General features: G+C 35.6%; 1 protein-coding gene across 27 annotated transcripts in view; it reads left to right on the top strand.

The window, feature by feature from the left end:
- Positions 1-24,699, top strand: part of LMNTD1 (lamin tail domain containing 1) — a 172,497-nt gene that overhangs the window by 118,673 nt on the left and 29,125 nt on the right. For 19 of the 27 annotated variants that reach the window (XM_011520575.2, NM_001256266.1, NM_152590.3 and 16 more), the window contains 4 exons: positions 2,951-3,137; positions 3,688-3,807; positions 9,831-10,048; positions 10,939-11,111. In XM_011520575.2, the coding sequence (XP_011518877.1) occupies positions 2,951-3,137; positions 3,688-3,807; positions 9,831-10,048; positions 10,939-11,111 (698 nt within the window). Of the gene's footprint in view, positions 1-2,063; positions 2,123-2,950; positions 3,138-3,687; positions 3,808-3,997; positions 4,092-4,222; positions 4,438-9,830; positions 10,049-10,938; positions 11,112-13,691; positions 13,792-24,699 lie in introns of those variants that run through there. The other 8 variants (XM_011520588.2, XM_011520587.3, XR_931277.2 and 5 more) reach the window with 7 other exon arrangements.

The following is a 24,699-nucleotide window of genomic DNA, read 5'->3' as shown; positions in this document are numbered from 1 at the left end:
TATGGTTGCAGTTTCAGCATAAGGTAGGAAGTAAGGAAAAAGGGGTTAAAGAAGTTGACAGATAAGGTAGGGCTTTGTTTGAGTGCTGTGATTTTTGTGTTTTCTATAGAAGGAAATGGTAAGATATTGAAGGATTTCCACAAGGCAAGCAGAAATAGGTTTGGATTGTACAAAGATTGCTCTGGAAGCAAAGTGGAGAATGTTTAGAAGGGGGTAAGACTGAGGATAATAGTTAGGATGTTGATTCAGTGTCTCACAGAAATGATGAGAGCGTGATAAAGGCAGCAGTCAGGGATGGAGAAAAGACGTAAATAGATGCCACTAAAGAGGAAGAATCAGCAGAACCTGGTCACGAATAAGGAATGAAGGATAAGAAACTGGGACAGTATTGGAAGTTTCAGGCTTGGCCAACAGAGTAAATGGTGCAATTCACTGGAATAGTTTCCTAGTTGGGAGAGTAAATTTACAACAGGCCAAAGTGATGAGTTCAGGGGTACCTTTTGAGATCTTGTGGTCAGTTGTTTCTGTGGATCCGAAGCTCAGTAGGAAGGTCTAGGCAAAAGATTTAGTTTTAGCAGTCATGAGTGTATTAATGGTTAGTAAACACTGTTCATGGATAACATCACCTATAAGGATAAATGAGGGAAATAAAAGAGGGCTAAGAACAGAATCCCAGGGATCAACATCTGGGAGATGCGTGAAGGGGCTGGGTGAAATAAGAAAAAGGGGCTGAAAAGTAACAAAACTGATAGAGGCAAAACAGTTGACTTCAAGAAACAAAGGGAAGAGTTTCCAAAAAGAGGCCAATACTGAGGAGACATGAAGATATAGACTAACAGTTGCCACTCAATTTACCGATTGTGAAGGGCATTGGTCATCTGGGTCTCCAGCAGAGGCAGGTGGTTGTGAAGTAAATAAGAGGTGATTAATTAGTGACATAGCCTTTTCCAAAAGCTAGGTTGTGATGGCAGTAGGAATTGTAAGCTGGAGAAGGACTCTTCTCTTTTTTCTTTTTTAAGGTGGTAGCCCCTCAAGGATATGTACCTATTTGGGGGAAATAGGTAGTCCAGAGGGAGAAGTTGGTGTTAAAGGAGAAAGGAAGGACAATGAGGGTACTGAGTTGCTGAAGCATCAGGAGGAGTTGGTGACCAGAGGGCTTCACTGCAGATGGAAGAAGGGGCCTCTTCCATGGAAATGGGGTGGGCTATGGAGAAGAGGTAGGCTCAGCTGTAGGAGAGTCTGTTTCTAAGTGTGAAGCAGGGAAATACACTATTCTCTCTGATGGCCATGTTTTCTTAGTGAGATAATTTGTCAAGAGTGAGAATAGAGATATTGTTGAAGGATGGCAGAAGTTGCTGACTTGGCTCATGAAGATGACAACTTGTTGTCAATCAGCAAGGGCCCAGGTGGTTGGAGACCACTAAGTTTTTGGTAGCAGCAATCTTTGTGTGTGCGTTTTCTAGCAGAGTTCAACCACCATGGTGTGTACAGAATTTAAACAACCTGAATGGTTAGGTCAAACCTATTTGAGATTTTACTTGTTGAATGAGGCAGAAGGACAAGGGTTAACATTTATTGAGTGACCTTGGACATGGGAATTAATCTCTCTAAACCTCAGTTTTTCTATTTATAAAATGGGGCTAAAATACTACCTGTCTGAGTTGTTTTAAGAATTAAATGAGATAATACAGTGTTCCTCACATTTTTTTAGTGTGACCTTCAATAAGAAACATGTAGAAGTATTTTAATGAGAAATACGTATGTTATTGTGAGAATTATATGAGTTACTATTAGTCCACAATGCCTTCACCAAAATACTTGGGGACTTACATATTTCCAAATTCAGAATTTTGACAATTTTAGGAAAGGAAATTTTAGAACACATATCATATAACACCCTGTCAGGGATTACAAAAGTATCAAAAATCAAACATTAATCTTTTCACAGAAAAATATATAAATATTCACATAAACCATGAACAAAGACTATAAATAGCCTCACCTCAGTTTTGGACCAGGCTTTGCTTCAAATATGTTTTAAAAAAATTTTTTTGCTTTTTCAGAGCTTTTTGGATTTTGGAACTGTGGATAAGAAATTGTGGAGAACTATATACAGAGATAGGTAGACAAATAAATAGAAACATAGACATAGATATACATATATATGTATATATATGTGTGTATATGTGTGTGTGTGTGTGTGTGTGTGTGTGTGTGTGTGTGTATATATATATATATATATATATATATATATATATATATATAGTGTTATTAAGTGCCTGGCATATAAGTGGTATTGTTATTATTATTGGTACAGATATATCTTATTTCCAAGATGGGGGTCCTCACTTACCAAAGTGATTTTTGACCCACTAATAAGTTGTGACTCACAATCTGAAAAATGCTGATACATAATGATATGTAAATGATTAGCCTGGTCCCTGGATCGTACATAGAAAGCTCTCAATGCAAGTTAAAAGGTGAAAAACACCATCCTATGTTTATTTAAAGTTTTTACCTTTCAAAAATCTTTTAATCACATAGTTGCTATTTATCTTCAGTCACTTTATCAGAAATAAAGTAAATGATTTGTCTCTTGATCTACTTTTGAGAGTTTCATGTCTCAATGATTTTATCTTGAACAGTAGGAAATTTAAACTATTATAATTCTCAACTTCCTGTGGCTTTTATACCTTGACACCTAAAATACTTTTTAAGTTTTCTTTATTTTAAGTGAAATAGGTTATTTTATTGCACAGATAAAGAAATAGAACTAAAAACTCAAGCCATTTGTCTGAGGTTACAAAATATACTATTCCTATATAGAACTTGCCCAATAGAATATACAGTTTAAGAACAACTTTCAAGCAGTTTATTAATCACTTCTTAAAGTGAGTCAAAGACACTCCTATCTGAAGGCAGCTTACAATCTTTGTGTTTTATTTTCTAGTTCTCTTGGAGATGTTGAAATAGCTGAAGTGAATGTCAAGGGTTTGTTCGTGAAGCTCATTAACTCTTCCCTTGACAAAGAAATGGCAATTGGAGATCATATTCTCCAGCAAAATGTGAATGGACAAACCATTTCTTTGTACCGATTCCTTCCAAACATCGTAATGCAGGCAAATTCCACAGTAACAGTGAGTATAAGAGTATAAATACTGTACATTAGAATTGTACAGGACAAACTTGTTGACACTGACAGTCTGTGGCTCAGCACTGTCTCGTTATCACTCTATCTGGATCTGTACGTAAGATGTGATTTTGTTGTTGGTGGTTAATTACCGCACTTTGTCCATCTTCTGGATGTTAATTAATACCCACAGTTAAATTTCCACAGCTGTCTTCAATTTTGTGTACAATATCTTTTGTTTTTATAATTTAACTATTAAAATGAAATTCTTAATTTCCTGAAACCAAGTAAATATAAACCTGAAAAGACAAGCAAAGAGATTATTTGCTTAGAGAACAGATAATTAGCTCATGCAGGAGGGGTCCTCTCTTTCTCGTTTTTTCCTTTAATCCCTGTAGAGTAGCTGTTTGGTGTTGCATAGCTTGACATTGTATATGATATAGTCATTATATTTTAAAACCTCATCTGTTCAGAAAGATTATGTTGGAGTAACCCTATGACATTTACAAAATTGTGTTCAACTCCAGTGGCATTTGTCATTAACAATTTTATTACAGGTGTGGGCAGCAGCATCTGAAGCAAAGCATCAACCTCCATCAGATTTTCTTTGGAAGGAACAAGACAAGTTTAGAGCAAGTCCTGATTGTATAACAATCCTGTGCAAACCGAACGGTCAAGTTAGTTTCTGGTTCTTAACAATCGTTTTTTTTTTTTAAATATTGTGCTTATTGAGCATATCTGTATTTTTTATTCTTTTTATTTTATACAATGTGTCTAAGTGCATAAATGTCAGTAAAATTGACTTTATGCCTAAAAGATTATTTTATTGTCAGGTTCTTATAAATTTATTTATTTATTTAATTTCAGTCGTTTTGGGGGAGCATGTGGTGTTTGGTTACATGGATAACCATGTTGTCAAATGGAAGAGCACTCATTAGTTCTTAAGTGGTGGTATTCCATGGTACGTATATACCACGTTTTCTTTATCCACTTGTTGCCTGATGGGCATTTGGGCTACTTTTTCATAGAATGGATAGTTATCCTTATGTTCCCCATCCTCTTAGCTCACCCGATTTTTTTTTATCCTTAAAGCTTGGGAAGAACCATCACTAAATGCCACAACACATCAGGCAAATCAACAGCATTCTCTTCCCAATGTCAAAGGGCCCAAGAGTTACTTACAATTTGGCAAAAATAATTTTGATATCTCATATTCCTAAGAAGCCTCTTCAACTTTCGAAGTCAAGGGAAGATTTAATTTGTGATATTTAGCCTGAAGAGTGGGATAAGGAAGGTACTCCATACAGGTCTTTTCCATTTATTTTTTCATTTCTCAAATATTTATTGATACTCTTCTCTATTTTACAGCTATGCTAAGTACTGGGAATATAACAGATTAAGATCTGCACCAAGGAACTAATATTCTAATGAAAGAGCTTACAGTATTAATTTGAAATGACTATACTTTACTCCTTATAAAATTAAGGGCATTAGCAATAGCTTTGGGTAATTTGTTCGCAGTATTTGACAATTTTATATTTTCACTCAACCTTTCTCTCGGTATAATATTAGCATACATATATACCCATGGACACACCAATAAGGTTCAAAGGTATTTCTTTTTACAACAACAAAAAAGTGAATCCTTTTTCAAAATGATTTTTAGATCATTTTTACATACCTGTGATTTTTCTTACCCTCAGTCTAACTTACTATGTCATATAACTACTAACAAAATATGTTAACAAGAATCTATCTCTGAGTTTCTTTTTTGCTGCAATATAATCTATGTTGAGATGGACTTTCCCTTTAAAATAGACTTGGCTAATTTCTTAAGAGCCATTTACTGTCTTTCTGCGGGAACAGTTGTTGTTAGATGAGGAGAGCACCCATGAGATATAACTTAGCAGCCTTCACCCACTCAGCTTTAGATCTCCTTGTGGGCTCGAACTGAATTTTATAATACTTCTCTGATGGGAAAAATAAGGCTACACAATCTAAGTTATTTACTTAGATTAATTTTCATTGATGGAGAAAATGAGGATACACAATGTGAGTTATTTACTCAGCCTCATAAGAAATCATTAGCAAAACCCAGTTTAGGATTAAGACATTCTTATCTCAGAACTTTCATCATAGTTATCCACTCTGTAAACCAGTTTGTGATTTCTACTTTGTATGTGCATTGCTCCAGGCACTGAGCATTGAACCAGACAGACCAGGTCCCTGAGCTCCTGGAATGCAGATTTTAAAAAGTTTTCATTTCTTGCAACTGAATTAGGCTTTGTACTTAGACTGTTCCTTTTACCCAGTGATTTTAATGACTTTGCACATATAGAATCAGACCATTTCTGTGGGGTGATGTAAGCACAAGTAACTGTGCCTGCTAATGAAAGACTAAACCTGACTGATTGATCCATACGGAAAATATTTAAATATATTTCGTATCTGTCAGGAATGGCGCTAGGTGCTAGAAAAAAGAACATAAATATTGCACACTTCTTGTCCTCAAGAAACTCAGAGTCTGCTAGTAGAAACTGATATGTAATAATAAGTAATTGCAATACAGTGAAACAATGCTTTAATAAAATATGGGCAGCCCAGGTCAGAAATATCAACTCTGTAAAGGAGAGCATGAGAAAAAGCATTGAGAGGAAGAGCCATGTGTTGTGAATCTGTAGTGGAGAGGAGTTTGCCCACCTAACTTGAACCATGGTGATCTTGCCCATTTTCACCTTCTGGACTCTCCTCTCTCCATGCTTCTTCATGCACTCTGTTCTAGCCACACTGCCCTACTTCTCATACTACTTTTGCTTTCCAGTGCTTGACTGCTCCTTCATGCCACAGGGCCTTTGCGCATGCTCTTGCCTCTCAATAGGCTCTCTTCCCTCCCTTTTTACCTATTAAATCCTACCTGCCCTTCAGAACTCAGCTCAAGCTTTTTTTTTTTTTTTTTTTTACCTGAGTCACATCCCATTGGAAATTCTACCTTATGGTAAAGCCATATGCATTATTTAATTCGACTAGAAAGTATTTCCCTTAAATAGGTGGAAATGTGACTTTAAAATCAGCTTGAAACCCTAATGTAAGTATAGAGTTCCTTTTCTAATAAATTCATTTTCATTCTCACTTTCATAGCACTGGATATTACTATCTGCAACCGCCAGGTAAATTTTCCTTAAAAAGACAATTTACTGCCTTCTCATAGACATGCTGAAACACGAACTCAAAGTGTCATCATGACCCTGGAATTGCTTTCTATTTGTATGTAGAAAATAATCCATATCTTGTGGAAAAAGTCACAAAGCCTGTAATCTACTGTCTAAAATAATAGCCAGCTATACAGATCAGAATAGAACCTGTTTCTGGACTTGAATAATATTTTATATTTGTAAGATGGGGCAAAGAGAAGTTATATTATGGGTCATTTTTAAAAAGAAGCCTAGGCCAGCGCAGTGGCTTATGCCTGTAATCCCAGCACTTTGGGAGGCCGAGGCGGGCGGATCACAAGGTCAGGAGTTTGATACCAGCCTGGCCAACATGGTGAAACCCCATCTCTACTAAAAATACAAACATTAGCTGGGTGTGGTGGTGCCCGCCTGTAGTCCCAGCTACTAGGGAGGCTGAGACAGGAGAATTGCTTGAACCTGGGAGGCGGAGGTTGCAGTGAGCCAAGATTGCACCACTGCACTCCAGCCTGGGCGAAGAGTAAGACTCTGTCTCGAAAAAAAATAAAAATAAAAACAAATTTAAAAAATTAAAAGGAGGCTAAAATAAAGTATGTCTTAGACTACTTTTTGAGTCATCTTGTCACTAACATGGCAGTGGTTAATATTCGATACAGCTACAAATCTTATGGCTTAATATAAAAGTGGCTTTTAGTTTTGCTTTGCCATGTATTAACTACATAATTGTTATTCTACTTTCCCATCTGTAAAGTAAGAGACTGTATAATATAATCACTAAGATTCCATGAGTCTATGGACCTTTAAAGCAGGGACAGGTTTGCAGCCTCTAAATTACATGTCAAATAATTAATAAATGTCTCATGTTTATCAATGCCTGGTACTTTCCCAATACATTGTTTTGCATTAGACATCCAGATGTGGAACAGACCAGTCCTATACAATAGGAACTCATTGAAGGGCTGTTTATATATGCCTTATTACAGTTGATTCTCAGTAATGTTTCAGTATCTTGGGGAAAAAAAATGGGGCTTGGAAAGTTAAATGGCTTGCTTAAGGTCACATGATAAGTAATGTGATAGAACTAAAATAAAACCATATCTTCTAACTCTCAATAATTTTTCTATTGCACTAAAAATAGTTTGTAAGTTTCATGTGGCCGACATTCTAGAGCTGAGGCTAAATTTTATCACATTATCATCATTGTCATCGAAAATTCTCTCAAGTTCCTACAATACAGGGGAAAATAAAATATTGCCTTGTCTAGGAAAGGCACACACCTCAATAAGGGAGATCACACTAAAAAGATCATGAACATATTTTCAAAATATAATATGTTTGAGCTACTAAAAAGGGAGGATTCGTAACTAATGATCTGTAGCAAAAGTCCATTTTTTTGCCATAATCTATGAAAATAAACTTTTTAAAAAAGAATTCATCTTCTTTCTCTGCTAGAAGCTTAGCCTAGCTGAACTGACCTTGTGTTGTCTTTATGTCTATGTTATTTGTCAAGCCAAGCAGAGGGATGTTCAAAGGTTACAGTGTGAAGTCCAAACCTCTAATTTGGTAAACTAAAAACAGATCACTAGAACAAGTAGAATGTTAGGGCACGTTTTTCATGTTGAATAGAAATATAACTGTTAGTGTCTATACAGGATTTTCCTGAATAATTTTTGCACGTGTATGTTGTGCACATGTCACATATTCAGGAAATCCAAACAAACTCCAGCTTCAGTGCTTATGGGTCTCCTTAATACTCTCACCTAGGATTCTAGCCTGAAGAACGTGTTTTCTTGTCCATGTCTCTAGCTCTACTGTCCATTTTCCCATCTCAGATAAGATACACTCACACACACAGTGTCTTAAATGTTTAAAATCTTAACTTTTTCATGTTACCATTACTTTTTGCTCGGTTCTTTAGAGTTGTGAAATTCAATAGCTGGATGAATTTTACAACACTTCAATAAAGCAGTTCCCAATACCACCCTCTCAGTTTTACACATGAAGTCACAGTTCAAGTTAGAAAGTAACTTACCTACCTGAGATTATGCTGCTTGTAATTTTCAGAACAGGAAACTAAGGCCAAGATGCGTTACTCTGTATCCTCATCATGTAGTTCGCTAAGCCGCACACACAGGTAAATGGCATTATATAGTTCAGTTTTTAAATTCTGTTGTACCATATTTTACATGGTAAATAAAAAACAACTCAAAATGGCTAAAAGACCTAAACGTAAGACCTGAAACCATAATACTGCTGGGAAAGAACATAGGGGAAAAGCTCCTTGACGTGGTCCTTTGCAATGATTTCTTGGTATCACACCAAAGCTCAGGCTACAAAAACAAAAATAAATAAAAGTGGGCATGGAGTATGTCAAGCTAAAAAGCTTCTGCACAGCAAAGGAAACAATTAACAAAATAAAATAGCACCCTACCGACTGGGAAAAAAAAAAGTTTGCAAACCTCATATCTGAGAAGGAGCTAATACTCAAAATCTATGAGGAACTCTTACAACTCAATAGCAGAAAAGCAAATAACCTGATTTAGAAAACAGGCAAAAGACCTGAATAGACATTTCTCCAAAGACATTTAAAAAATGGCCAACAGATACATTAAAAGATGCTCAACATCACTAAGCATCAAATAAAAGCAAATTAAAATCGTTATGAGCTATCACTTCACACTTCATAAGGATGGTTATTCCAAAAAAGACAAGAGATATAATAACAAATGTTGGTGAGAGTATGGAGAAAAGGGAACCCCAGTACATGGTTGGCAGGAATGTAGATTGGTGCAGCCTTTATGGAAAACAATATGGAAGTCCCTAAAGAAATTAAAAGTAGAGCTACCATACAACCCAGCAATCCCTCTTCTGGGTACATACCCAAAAAAGATGAAATCACCACCTTGGAAAGGTATCTGCACAGCCATCTTCATTGCAGCATTATTCACAATAGCCAAGATATGGAAACAACCTAAGTGTCTGTCAACAGACAAATGGATAAAGAAAATGTAGCTATACACAATGGAATATTATTCAGCCTTAAGAAAGAACATGGAGGTACCTGGAGGACATTATGCTGAGTGAAATAAGTCAGACACAGAAAGAAAAATGTTGCATGATCTCACTTATATGTGGAATTTTTGAAAAGGTCAAACATACAGAGAAAGAGAATAAAACTGGTTCACAGGGATGGGAGCAGGGGAGGAAATAGGCAGATGTAGGTCAAAGGATATAAAGTAGCAGAGATTTGTAGGATGAAGTCTAGGGATCTAGTGTACAATATAAGGACTATAGTTAATGAAATTGTGTTGGGGATTTTTGTTAAGTAGATTTTAGCTGCTCTTGTCATAAAAAAGTAACTACGTGAGACAATAAATACCTTAATTTGCTCCACCATAGTAACCATTTTACTATATATATATATATATATATATATATATATGTATATCTCATAACAGCATGTTGTAAACCTCAAATATACATAGCCAACATTAATAAATCATTTTCATTAGGCCATTGCGTGGTACACCCCTATCCACTGGAAGCAAGCGTGGGAAAAATTAGATGCTGACGTTGAATTTAACAGATGTTCAGTAGTATCTCCAACATTCCGAAAGCGTGTGTTTCAGTGGACAGCATCTACAGCTACAATAACTAAAGAAAAACAAGATCAACCTAAGAAAGATATCTCAAATTATCAGGTGGAACAAGCTCAAGTTCTTCTTAAGAGGTAAGGGTTGTTTGGTTTGTTTGTTTTAATGGGTCCTTCCCACAATTAGTAACTAAGCATGTGGGAACGACTAGATGACAAATGGATGTGTGATGTATAAATTAAATCAATAGTGATTTTTGGAAACTACTATTTTGAATAGAACTCATAGGAAAAGCACGAAAACAGAATGAGCAGGTAAATACTCATAGGGCAATGAAGGCTGGCGATCTTCACTAGGTAGTATTGAGACCCCTCTGGCCATTTCACTTTTTTTTTTTTTTTTTTTTTGAGACAGAGTCTCGCTCTGTCACCCAGGCTGGAGTGCAGTGGCGCCATCTCGGCTCACTGCAGGCTCCGCCCTGCCGGTTCACGCCATTCTGCTGCCTTAGCCTCATGAGTAGCTGGGACTACAGGCGCCCACCACCACGCCCGGCTAATTTTTTTTGTATTTTTAGTAGAGACGGGGTTTCACCGTGTTAGCCAGGATGGTCTCGATCTCCTTGTGATCCGCCCGCCTTGGCCTCCCAAAGTGCTGGGATTACAGGCGTGAGCCACCGCGGCCGGCCGCCATTTCACTTTTCATGGGCACTGTTATTAGAGGCAAGGCTGCTGCAGAGAGGTGAAAAGGTGAGGTATCCCCAAGTCTTTAGCAGTGCTTAGGTGGAGGGAGAGGTGCATTATCCAGGAATTTTATCTTGGATCAAAAGCTGCCTATGGACAGAGGTGCAGAATATATTATTCATTTGTAGCAAATGCTTCTGAAGTTATAATAAAAGTTCTGCCCACAAAGTTTAAAAAGTCATATTCTCTTGGTTTTGAAATATGCTTCCCCTTTAATTGTGCCTTCAACATTAACACCACAGCATAAAATGGCTTTTGAGTTCCATTTAGGCTTTTTTCTTTTACAGAGAGAAGGAAATCCCACCAACCGTTTTCCCTAATCGCAGCCCTTGGTGCCAGAATCCCTATGTCTCTGCACATCCTTACTGTCCTCTGATTGAACCACACAATACATCCACCGCTGGAGGCAGATTGGATAGACAGCCCAGGACTCGGTCAACCAGACCTAATCGAGCCTCAGGTCAGTTAAAAGAGTGCTTGTTCCAGTGGAGAGTGCGTGTGTGTGCATGCACATGTGTTAACTAGTGGGTTAAGTGGTTAAAATGTGCTAAGTGTTAAAGATGATTCATATTCTCAAGAATAGATGGCTCTTAAAGGAAGTATTGTTAACCATTCACTTACATTTCCCCTAGCACAGTGTCTTCCACTGTGCTAGATAAACATCTGTCTTTGATAAATATCTGTTGAATGAATCAATGAATTAAAAGAACAGCGTGGCCAGCAAGAGTATGTATGATTCTTGAAGTTCAATGAAAAAACACTTTTTGTTTTTTCATCAGGCAGCAAAAACTGTTCTTACAAGTTATGCTGTGTTGAAAAAAATTCCACCTTTTCCAAACACACTCTAATGTTAATCCCCAATTCTTTCTCCTTCAGAAGTTTCTTAAGTCCTCTAAATAAAGCTTTTAGAGTTAGTATGATTAACACACACTCTGTGAATGGATTTTAGGAAATCCATGCACTTGCTACATTTTTCACAAAATTGTGTGTGTCTATATGATTTTTTCTGGGGAGAGAGTCCATGAAGTTCATCAGATGTCCACAAGTATTTAACAAGAACTGGAGTAGAAGAACATAAAGCCAAGAAGGAACCAGACTCAACTATTGGAGAAAGCCTGTTTAGTACACCAGCAATATCCTGGTGAAGTTGTAATGATTCACAAACTTTGACTTAGGAAAGAAGAGCTTGTTTTTTTAAAAATGAAATCTTAAGCGAGATCCCAATATATAAAATGCATAAAAACAGATCTACCCAAGGTGAGGAGGATGTAGCAATTTCCACTACTCATGACCCCCTTATTCTTCCATTTCTCTTTGCCTGTGATCTTTAAGACACCACGAAATCACAAGATTCTCCATGAAACAATATGACAACCATTGTGTTAATATGCTAGCACATCACTGGGAAATGGCACCCCCAAAACAGTACCTTTTAGAAGTGGAATGATGGAAATTTTGTAAATCACTGAATATATTTCTTTTTCTTTTTTCCTGCTTAGAATTCTTTTATTATTATTATTATTATTATTATTATTATTATTATTATTCTTACACTTTAAGTTTTAGGGTACATGTGCACAATGTGCAGGTTAGTTACATATGTATACATGTGCCATGCTGGTATGCTGCACCCATTAACTTGTCATTTAGCATTAGGTATATCTCCTAAAACTATCCCTCCCCCCTCCCCCCACCCCACAACAGTCCCCAGAGTGTGATGTTCCCCTTCCTGTGTCCATGTGTTCTCATTGTTCAATTCCCACCTATGAGTGAGAAGATGCGGTGTTTGGTTTTTTGTTCTTGCGATAGTTTACTGAGAATGATGATTTCCAATTTCATCCATGTCCCTACAAAGGACATGAACTCATCATTTTTTATGGCTGCATAGTATTCCATGGTGTATATGTGCCACATTTTCTTAATCCAGTCTATCATTATTGGACATTTGGGTTGATTCCAAGTCTTTGCTATTGTGAATAGTGCCGCAATAAACATATGTGTGCATGTGTCTTTATAGCAGCATGATTTATAGTCCTTTGGGTATATACCCAGTAATGGGAGGCTGGGTCAAATGGTATTTCTAGTTCTAGATCCCTGAGGAATCGCCACACTGACTTCCACAATGGTTGAACTAGTTTACAGTCCCACCAACAGTGTAAAAGTGTTCCTATTTCTCCACATCCTCTCCAGCACCTGTTGTTTCCTGACTTTTTAATGATTGCCATTCTAACTGGTGTGAGATGGTATCTCATTGTGGTTTTAATTTGCATTTCTCTGATGGCCAGTGATGGTGAGCATTTTTTCATGTGTTTTTTGGCTGCATAAATGTCTTCTTTAGAGAAGTATCTGTTCATGTCCTTCGCCCACTTTTTGATGGCATTGTTTGTTTTTTTCTTGTAAATTTGTTTGAGTTCATTGTAGATTCTGGATGTTAGCCCTTTGTCAGATGAGTAGGTTGCAAAAATTTTCTCCCATTTTGTAGGTTGCCTGTTCACTCTGATGGTAGTTTCTTTTGCTGTGCAGAAGCTCTTTAGTTTATATTTCTTTTTCATAAAATTGTGTACCATGTAGCTCTATGTCTGAGTTTCCTCATCTGTAAAGATATGGTTCTGAAATTGAAGGTCTCTTTAGCAATAAACTCTGTGCATGTGTGTGAACTTTAGATATAGATATAGATATATTAGATAGATGTAAACAACTTTAGCCCTTTATAATCTTTAGTACTTTATGACTTAAATTTGAGGCTTTCAAGAAATACATTAATTTATGTTTTTCTTTAATTAATGATCATCTTCACTAGTTTACTTATTCAGAACAACTTATTTTCCAGAGAAATTTGATTTCAAAATTTTTGAGGCACTTTTCTATAATATGATGGTGGCAACTTATCTTGATTATTCAATAACATTTGCTATTCAACACAAAGCACTTCACCGTATGTGCATATTTTGTAGTAGTAATTCAAAAATAGTTGCTTTGATACCTCTAAAGTCTTTATACATCGTTACATAACTTTTTTTTCCATTCAGTTAATTTTCAGTATGAACAGATATACATCAGAATTGTACGATTTTTTCTTTGATTTCTACCACAAAAGATGGCCACAAAGAAACAGATGTTATGAATGATTGGTTGCTGATTGATTGAATCAAGTAATCCCTGAATTACCAGTTCATCTCCTTGAAAGGATTTGTAACATGATTCTTCAAGGGAAAGTTACATGGTTTGTTAATTATCCACTATCTTTTTAATTTGCCTGCTACTGGAAAATTTGCCACCATTAGCACACACAATAGCTGGCAAAGAAAAAAAACCAGACAAAACAAAAAGTAATTATACTTGGAAGTTGTTTAATCCTGCTCCATTTACCCTAAAATAATAAATAGGCTAGTTTGCTGAGTTACAGAAGAATCTTAGATAGAAAGAAATCTATCTTCTATCTGAAAATGGTTGCCTTGTTTTAAACTGTGTCTCTCAAATATGCTACAGAGGAGCCTAGAGACTAATAAATAGGATAATTTTAAAGAAACATCTACACACTGTATTTCCAACTCATGCTGAACACATTTTGTTTTTAAAAACATGTTAAAATACAGCAAGTATAATGTTAAAAGCACCCATATATTAATCATGCAGAATGAATGCATGTTAATATTTTATTGTATTGTTTCACATTACCAAAAAGAAAAATTCATAAATTTGAAGTTCCCTTTAATTGTATTTGCAGTTCTGATCTGATATTGGAATAAATCATTCTGGTTCTCATTTTATACTTTGTTTACATGCATATGGATCCATATATATATATTTAAAATAATTTGTGTATTTTTAATTTACATAAATGGCATCATGCTAAATGTGCCAGCTCTTTTTGACTTACTGTAATTTGGGGGATTTAACTATAGTAATATAGAGAGACCTAATTCAGTCACTTTAACCATTATGTAGTATTTTATTATACAAATTTACTGTATCTTGTTTATTCCCCTATTAATGTTTTTCTCGTCAATAATATAGATGAAAAAATTTTTAAATATTTTAATTTTCTTTTTTACTTAAAAAAAAATTTACCAAGTCTTTGAATGCATCCAAGAAAATGTTATGTCTACGGCAATGATTATCCTTGTGCAAGTCTACTTGTGCATACATACAAAGGTTCCTTTGGGGTTCATACCTAAACTTTTAAAATCTTCTAAAATTCCTACATGTACTTATTCAGTTGTATGGTACCTGTATCTTCAACTTTATTAGATTTTGCTCAACTGCTCTAGGAAGAATTTTGCTAATTTATACTCCCACCAACATAGTAAAATATTTCCCATTCCCCTTATTCTCACCTAACTTTATATTGCCAGAATCTTAAATTATGTGCCAATCTGATGGACATTAACTAGTAACTCATTATCTTAATGTGAAGTTCTTCTTTAATAGTGGTGTTGTGCATATTTTCATATGTAAAAAAATAAAAAATCTTTCCCTATCTCATAATAATTCTCATAATAATAAAGTTATGTGCTTATATTTATTAATTTTTGGGGATTATCCGTTCCCTCAAGCATTTATCCTCTGAGTTACAAACAATCCAATTACACCCTTCAAGTTAGTTTAAAATGTACAATTAAGTTATTATTGACTGTAGTCACCCTATTGTACTATCAAATAGTAGGTCTTATTCATTCTTTCTTTTTTTTTTTTGTATCCATTAACCATCCTTACCTCCCTGCCCTGCAAATCCCCCACTACCCTTCCCAGCCTCTGGCAACCATCCTTCTACTCTGTATGTCCATGAGTTCAATTGTTTTACTTTTTAGATCCTACAAATAAGTGAGAACATTGTGTGTTTATATTTATTTATGATAGTTTTTCCAATTTGCTTTTTGTATATGTCTTTAATATATTTGAAGTTGTTTTTATGTATGGTATGAAATAGTGACCTCAGATTTCTTCGATATGGAAAACCATTTGTCTCAACACCAGAGAGTGTGTCCATCACGTGCACACTGATTTCTAGTACCACCTCCCTCCTATGCTTGGGTCTGGGTCTGTGCTCCCTAGACTGTTCTATTGATCTATCACTGTGCCAATAACACTGTTCCTGTTGTTATTGGTACGTAATCATTCTTTTGCTCTCTTCTTGCTCTTCCCTTTCAGTGTGATTTGGCTTTTCTTAAACTTTTTACTCCTCTTTACAAGAATCATTTTTATCAAGTTTCACATAGAAAAACCATCTTGTTGGTAGTGTGATTAAAATGGTAAGAATTTTAAAGGTCATGTTGAGAGTTGATACCTTTATGATACTGAGTCATGGTATATGAAATCAATTGTCAGTTCATTCAGATTTCTTTCATGGCTTTCATTGATATTTTCTCATTTTTTTCCATAAAATTCTTGTATATCGTTTGTAGATTTCTCACCCAGGCAGGTGTATTGATTTGTTATTATTGTTGCTACTGCTTTTGAAAATGCTATCTCTTTCTATAACTTTTTTTCACTTTTTTAAAGAAGAGGAAAATTATCTTTGTATATTGCTTTTGTTTCAACAAATTTTCTGAACTTTTTAGTTTTGATAGCTTGTAGTCTCATGGGTTTGTTTGCTTGTTTGTTTGCTTGCTTGTTTTTGAAGCAGAGTCTGACTCTCTCACTGTAGCTGGAGTGCAGTAGCACGGTATCAGCTCACTGCAACTTTTGCTTCCCTAGTTCCAGTGATTCTCGTGCCTCAGCCTCCCGAGTAGCTGAAATCACAGGTGTACGCCACCACACCCAGCTAATTTTTGTATTTTTAGTACAGACAGGGCTTTGCCATGTTGGCCAGGCTGGTCTCAAATTCCTGACCTCAAGTGTTGGCCCTCCAAAGTGCTGGGATTACAGGCATGAGCCACTGTGCCTGGCCACATGGGTTGTTTTTTCCCCTCTGTATTGTGTAATTGTGTACAAATGACATCCTTTCTTTCCAATGCTTATAAATTTATATCGTGTTCTTGCATTATTGCATTGGCAATAATGCGAGATAGTTCCAATGAGCATGGCCAACTTTGTCTTATTCATATTTTTAATCGGGATGCATCTTAGTGGAAGATGTGCTGAAAGTCACCACTGAGCATTCATTTTGCTGAGAATTTGTTCCTGTGGGAATTAGCACAAATTTGGGGGAATGTTCTGAATTCTACAATGTAGGCGGTTAGGAATTTTATTCAGTATAATACAGATCAAATGCACAGGGCCTCTAGCTAAGTTTGTGGCTATGGATTATTAAAGGATTAAATACGATGTGACACTCATCCTGCCCCTCGGTGTTCACAACAAACTAAAATGCCAGAAACCACTCATGGGCAATAAATGTTTCTGATGTTTTGGGAGTCATGAGAAGAGGTTTCATTAAAGCCCCCCCCCATAAAAAAAAAATTGTGAGTAGATTCTCCTAAGAATCCTTTCAACTGGCCCCAAGAGGGATTACCCTTGGCCCCTTACCCCATGCACTACCAAAGCTCTTGCCATAATTGCCCTCTTTGTCTCTTTCAGAAGCTCTCACTCCCATAGCTTCAGGAGTCACCATACCTTCTACCAAAAGCCTGGTAAGGTATCCTCCCCCTATCCTAAGAGGAATTTGACAGCAGATGTCAAGAGGAAACATTTTCACCTCCTTATAAATTCCACTATTATTTCGACTTCACAAATAAGAATTTAGTAAGTGATGGAGCTAGAAAATTTTCCGCTTTTGAATCTTTTTTTAATGTTATAAAATACGTAAAGAACAAAAAAGACACTTCTCTACCCACTTCCCCAAATGAAAAATATTAATACATTGTCGTATTTGCATTAATTATTTTTTAAAATAAGCATTACATGTCAAACGTCTCCTAGATTTCTTTTTCTAGTCCTAGTCCTATTCCCCTCCTTTGCTCCCTAAAGCAACATCCATGAACTAGGGATATTTTTTCTTTTTGCTATTGTCTCGTTTTTTGCTGCTTAATGCAAATCTAACTTCAAATTCAAACATTTTTCCACTGTCAACTGTTGAAGCTCAAAAAACTCAGCTGTAGCTGCAAATATGTATTTCAAACCTATATAACCAAAGCAAATGTTGCAAAAGACAATACTGATTTTTCTAAGTATGACAGATTCTGATATTTCCTACTCTTTTATTTCATTTTAAAATACTTGCCATGACCTTCTAAATTTATTTCATAACCAATAGAGAGGGAAAGATTTGCTGTTTAAGAAACATTGCTTTAGAAATATTTATGAAAAGACGAGAGCAATGGAAAAGGCTCAGGGGAGATAGCATTGGAACTAAGGTATTGAAGGTCGAATAGGAGTTATTCAGGTTGAAAAGAGGGGGGGCAAAGCATTCTGAGTAGAAGAAACAGTACATATTAAAAGCACAAGGAGGCAAGAATAAACTTTGGGTTCAGTGAACAGACAGAAATTGTATCCGACTGAAATATAAGTAGAAATTGAGGTGTTAGTCCAGAAAGTTTGGTAAGGACTAGATGTTAGAGGTATTTGTACACCACCATGTTAGAGTTTCAACTGTATTATGAAAATACTGACGAGGCAACAATTGGATTTTAAATAGGTGTTATAGTTAATAGTTAATAGTTATAGTTAATAGTCTCATATAGTTAGATCTGTGTTTAAAAGAGAATTTTAAAAGCAATGTGAAAAATGAAATGGAGTAGGAAAGATTCCAAACTCTTTATCTCCAGCCCAACATTCTATTCTGAACTTCTGATTTATGAGGCTAATTACTTATAATCTCTAGTTGGATGCCCTACAAGTGTCTCATTCTCAGAATGTTCAGAACAACTCATCATTGTCTTTCCTTCAAAGTCTGTCATTCCACTGATTTTCCTTATATAAGTGAATGCCATTCAGAAACCTGAGGTATCCTAACGGTCTTTCTCTACTCCTTTTCCTTCCTCAACTCCCAAGTATAATCAATCTTGTTTAGGTATCCTAAACATTTCTTCTCTTACTTAAAAATCTTCATTTTCTCCCCATTGCCCTCATGGTGGAGTCCAAATCCATAAAATTGTTTAAGTATCTTTGAGCCAGGGCTGTCCTATCTCATCACACATTCTCCTTCTTGCATTCTATGCTTTAATCATCTTGAAGTTCTTTCAGTTCTTCAAACACACCCTGACTACCTCCAGGCCTTCACACATTCTTTCACCCCTCCTCTTTTCATGGATAATTCTTTTTCATCCTTAAAGTTTCACTTATATGTCACTATCTCCAAAGAACCCCTCTCTGGTCCCCACCAAATGAGTTTTTTGCTCCTAATATGTGTTCTCAGTAATATCTTACACTCACCAAGCAAAGCATTTATTGCACTGTATTGTAAATTCTCTTTTATCTCTGGACTATAAGTGTTAAATTGCTTTTATTTTGCTTGTCTTTTTGTCACTTGCACCAAACTCAGTACATGACACATAGGAGTTAATATGTGTATACTGAAGGACAGACTGAAAAAGAGACACCGAAGATTTTTAAATGACATCTCATAGAGTTAGACTGGTATTTTAATGAGAATTTTAGAAGGAATATAAAAAATAAAATGGAATACAAAATATCCCCAAATCTAGAAAAAAATAAGCAGTAAGGAAGCAAAGGATAAGGAAAGAAAGGAACAACAAAAAAAGATTAGAGAGAAAGACTGAGCACAAGTAAGTCTAGTAGAGTTGTAATTTGAATCCCAAAAGGAGATGATGGAGAGGTTGGGACAGAAACAATATTTAAATAAATAATGGCAAAAATTCTCAAAAACTGATACAAAGACATCAAGCCATAGAATTAAGAATAATAATAAATCCCAAGCAGCATAAATACAAAGGAAACCACATCTATGTACATCATAATAAAACTTCAGAAAACAAAATATGGAAGTCATAAGATAATGGAATGATAGCCTCAATGTGCTAGCAGAACTTCTAATCCTGAGTTCTATATTGAGGAAAAATATAACTGAAAGGGTGAAGGTAAAATAAGGACATTTTCTGACAAAAAAAAAAAACTGGAAGGATTCATTAATGGCAAATCCACACTAAGGAAATACTTCAAATAGAAAGAAAATTATCCCACATGAATGCGCAGAGCTATAGAGAGAAGTAAAAAAAAATTGGAAACAATCAAAACATGAACAAACATAAATGTTTACTACACAAAATAATACCGATGTTGTCTTACAGGGTTTTAAATTTAGATAGAATTTAAATACATGACAACTGTATAGTTTCCTAGGGAGGGCTACCTTCACAAAGCACCACAAACTTGATGTCTTAAAACAATAGAAATTTATTCTCTCACAATACTGAGGCAGAAGTCTAAAAGCAAGGTGTTGGCAAGGCCATGCTCACTTTGAAGACTTTAGAAAATTATCTTTCCTTGCATCTTCTTAGTTTCTAGTCATTGCCGGCATTCCTTGATACTCCTTGGCTTGTTGATCCATCGCTGTAATTTCTGCCTCTGTCTTCATATGGCCTTAACTTCCTGTGTGTCTGTGTCCAATTTCTCTCTTCTTTATAAGAATGTCAGTCACTGGGTTAGGGCCTATACTAATCCACCAGGACCTCATCTTAATTTTATTACATCTCCGAATACCCTATGTCCAAATAAAGTCATGTTCGCACGTTCCAAGGGTTAGGACACATCTTTTAGGGAGACACAATTCAATCCATTACAACAGAAATAGAACAAAAGTTGGGAGAGGACTAAATGGAGTTAAAGTTCTCTAAATTTTCTGTTTTTCCAATAGGTTGTAAAAATAGCAACTTATATTAGATTTTAATAAATCAAAAATACATGTTGTAATATAGGATGGAAACTAAAAGAATAGTAGAAGAATGTCGGCCTGGCACAGTGGCTCATGCCAGTAATCCCAGCACTTTGGGAGGCCGAGGCAGGCAGATCACCTGAGGTCAGGAGTTCGAGACCAGCCTGGCCAACATGGTGAAACCCCATCTCTACTAAAAATACAAAAATTAGCTGAGCATGGTGGTGTGCACCTGTAATCCCAGCTACTCTGGAGGCTGAGGCAGGAGAATCGCTTGAACCTGGGAGGCGGAGGTTGCAGTGAGCCGAGATCACGCCATTGCACTCCAGCCTGGACGACAAGAGTGAAACTCTGTCTCAAAAAACAAAAAGATATATGTCATACTTTCATTATAATTCAGTTAAACATATATAATTTCCAACGTAATATCTTCTTTGATACATGGGATATTTAGGGATAATATATCACCAAGAAATTGGGTTTATTTCAGGAATGCAAGGCTGGTTATAAAGAGGAAAATTATATAATCACCTCAATAATAAAAGCATTTGATAAAATATTCACTCCATACCCACAAGAGAACCTTAGAATATTAGGACTAGAAAGAATTTTCTTAATCTGACGAATGATATTTGCAAAACTCCTAAAGCAAACGATATCATACTTAACGGTGAAGTAGGTGCAGTGGCGAAAGATTTTTCCTTGAGGTCCTGAGCAAGACAAGAATTCTCTTTATGATGACTTCTATTCAACATTGTACTAGAAGTCTGCGTGAAATAAGGCAAGAAAAATGAATATACACATACTAATTACCCCATAAACCAGCAATTTCATTCCCAAGAACTATATATATTTAACAAATATATACATATGTGCACCAAAATATACATACAATAATGGTCTGAGTGACTGTATTTGTAGTAGCCAAGAACTAGAAGCAATCCAGGTGTTCATCAATTATTTAATGGATAAATAAATTATACTGTGTTCATACAATCCCATAGGCAATGAAAATGAATGAACTACTGCTACATGCAATAATATCAGTGAATCTCATAAGCATACTATTGAACAAGAAATGTCAGACAAAAAGGAATGTGTATTGAATGATTTTTGCGTATATAAAATTCAAAAACATACAATATTGAACCATGGTGTCAAAGGTCAGAATAATCGTTATCTTTGGGAGAAGAAAGGAGTAATATTTAGAGGTTACCAAAAATGCTTCTAGAACACTGACATGTTCCATTTCTTGATCCAAGTGGTGTTTACAAGTATGTTTTACTGGCTTCACCATGCTGTAAATTATGATTTGTGAACTTTCCTTCATGTATATTAATACTTAAATACATTTTATTTTAAAAAACTTAACAATAAAAACTGGTAAGGGAAGAAAGCATGGTTCCATTAATGAGCATGGACAGCTTATATACTGACAAGGAGGGACAAAGAAAATCTAAAAAAAAAAACACGTTGATGAACTCAAAATGAATATTAATAACATGAAGCTTATTCAGTGTAAGAGAAAAACAGTCTTAACCATTAATAAGCTTAAACCCATCATTATGTTGCAGTGTCTTGGGAATTAATTTTAATATAGTTTGTCATAGCTCAGTCATTTCCAGAAATACCTCATAGCAGAGAAAGCTAATTGCAGCCCTTAAAATATTCTTCCTTTATACACAAGATTCACAGGTCCAGGGAAATTTAGACACATGGCCATCAATAATAAGAACTGTTTTTCTCAGCCTCTGCTGCAAATAGTAGGATTATGTGTCAACATCCTATATAATGGAATGTGAACAGAACTTGTATCTACAACATCTGGATCATGCCCTGGGAGTGTGTGCTCCCCTGTGCCTTCTCTATGGCATGACCATGGGGCTAGAGCTGCCACATTTCAACTGAGAGATGAAGCCATGAGCTGAGGATGGAAGAGCCACCCAAAGTGCCCTGTACTGGCACATGTCCAGACTGTTAAATGAGAGAGAAATACTTTTGTTTATGCCATTTTTAAGTTGGATCTGTGTCTGAGCCAGATGGCCCATAGAATTAAGCTACCATTTCAAGATTTAGTTTCCCTTAATAGGCTATTGGTTAAAAAGAAAACAAAAATCACAGCCAGAACAGACATTTTTTAAGATAATTAGGTGAATTTGAATACAGAATGAATATTAGACATTGAGTCATTGTGCTTTTCTTAGGTGTGTTAATTGTGTTGTGGTTATGTTAGTTGTTCTTAGGAGATTCATACTGAAATCTTACTCTCTAATGGTCTGGTCATGTAGGCATATATAGATATAATGTGTCTGGGCACAGTAGCTCACACCTGTAATCCCAGCACTTTGGGAGGCCGAGGTGGGTGCATCACTTAAGGTCAGGAGTTTGAGACCAGCCTGGCCAACATGGTGAAACCCTGTCTCTACTAAAAATACAAAATTAGCAAGGTGTGGAGCATGCCTGTAATCCCAGCTACTCGGGAGGCCGAGGCACAAGAATTGCTTGAACCCGGGAGGTGGAGGTTGCAGTGAGCCAAGATCGCATCATTACACTCCAGCCTGGGCAACAACAGCAAAACTCCATTTCAAAAAATAAATAAATAAATAAGATAATGCAAATTTGGCAAATATTAATGATTAAATCTGGGTGATAAGTATACAAATTTGGTTATATTATTCATTAACATTTTCTGTATGTTTAAATTTTTCACAATAAAAATTTGAAATAGTAAAATAAATAAGACCAATTTTTTGATAGAATCTAGTATGTACCAGGAGCTGTTAGAGCACAAAGGCAAGGCCCTGAGTACAGCACGAAGGAGTCGTCAGAATGAAGGCTAACGGCCCTTTAACACAGCAGATAAGTTTACATTGTGTTGCCATTATTCATCCTACACCTAGAGAGAATGTGCTTTCTTCTTGCTCTGATTAGCTTGTAGATTATCGACAATTTTGCCAGCGTTCTTCTGTAATTCAAGTTAAATGACAGAAACTAGTCTGAAGATAGTATTTTGCATTGTTTCGAGTTGATATTGTGAGCATATTCAGTTTAATGTACTTTATTTGTTCATGGTTGAATGCGCTTTGCCTGTCTTCTGCAATCCATCTCATATACTGCAGTGGAATTCATCTTAATTGTGGACTCTGCACCTGCTACTGTCTTCTATGTAAATGTTATCATAGTAATAATAATGATGATGCTCCTTTGTTTCTGAGTGTGGCAAAGCCACACTGTGAAAAACTAACTGCTAGAAAATAAATAAAAGCAGAACATAGATAACCTTACGCAGGAATGAAACACTTAAAATCTCATCAATGTGAGCTCCACATTAAGATCATATCTATAGAATTTTACTTAAGCTGGACTGTGGGCTCATTATAATTTAATAGATCTGACTTATCTGTCTTAGGATCAAAGTATATTTTTCCCATAAGAAATTGCCTCCAATACAAGTTTGAGATTTTTGAGTTTTTCCTTATATATTCCTCAGATTAGTGTCTGTTCTGTTTATTGATGTTTGCATGTATTGCATGGTTTAAATTTGTCAGACTAGGAATTTGGAATAACATGACGTTTCTGTGAATAGGCAGAGTATTAGTCAATATTATATACATATAAACATATATGGCTAAATTAGTCAATGACATAACTAGAAATTATATGAGTTAATGTATAAAAAATGTTAAATGAAAAAAACTGACTATCCAGAGGGATAGAAAAAACTCATTACTGTATTGGACCACTTATCATCAGACTGAGTAGAAAACAATAATTTGAAGGAACATTGCAAAATACTAACGGGTCCTGTGCATATTCTATTATCAAATAATTTTTCCAAAAGAAACTTTTATATAAAGGAAAATTTTACTGCATCGTATATTCAAAAGTAATAATTTTTCTCTTCCCTTGCTTACTTTCAGAAAATTTAGATTAAAAAGTCACCATATTTCTGCAGGACTTTTTAAAAAAAGAATAGACAAGTAAGAACAGTTTATGTGCTGCTTCTTACAATTGAAATAAACGTTTCTTTAATGGCTGAATAATGAATTCCAAGGTATTAGTCTTAGTAACAGAATAATTAGGTAACATTATGACCAGATATTTTATTTCAAAACATTTCAATATTACAAAACAAGTGTTTTAAATTGTCCTTTAGTTATGAAAGATTGTAACCTTCTTTACAGAAATAGATGTCCATTTCTTTACACAAGTAAAAAATATGATTTCAGAAATTCAGGGGATTTAGATTAAAGTTACTAGGTGCTAAATGCTTGAG

This window comes from Homo sapiens, chromosome 12 (assembly GCF_000001405.40).
Source record: "Homo sapiens chromosome 12, GRCh38.p14 Primary Assembly".
Classification (NCBI taxonomy): Eukaryota; Metazoa; Chordata; class Mammalia; order Primates; family Hominidae; genus Homo; species Homo sapiens.
The sequence above is the reverse complement of the archived record's forward strand: the minus strand, read 5'-3'. Positions and strand labels throughout refer to the sequence as shown.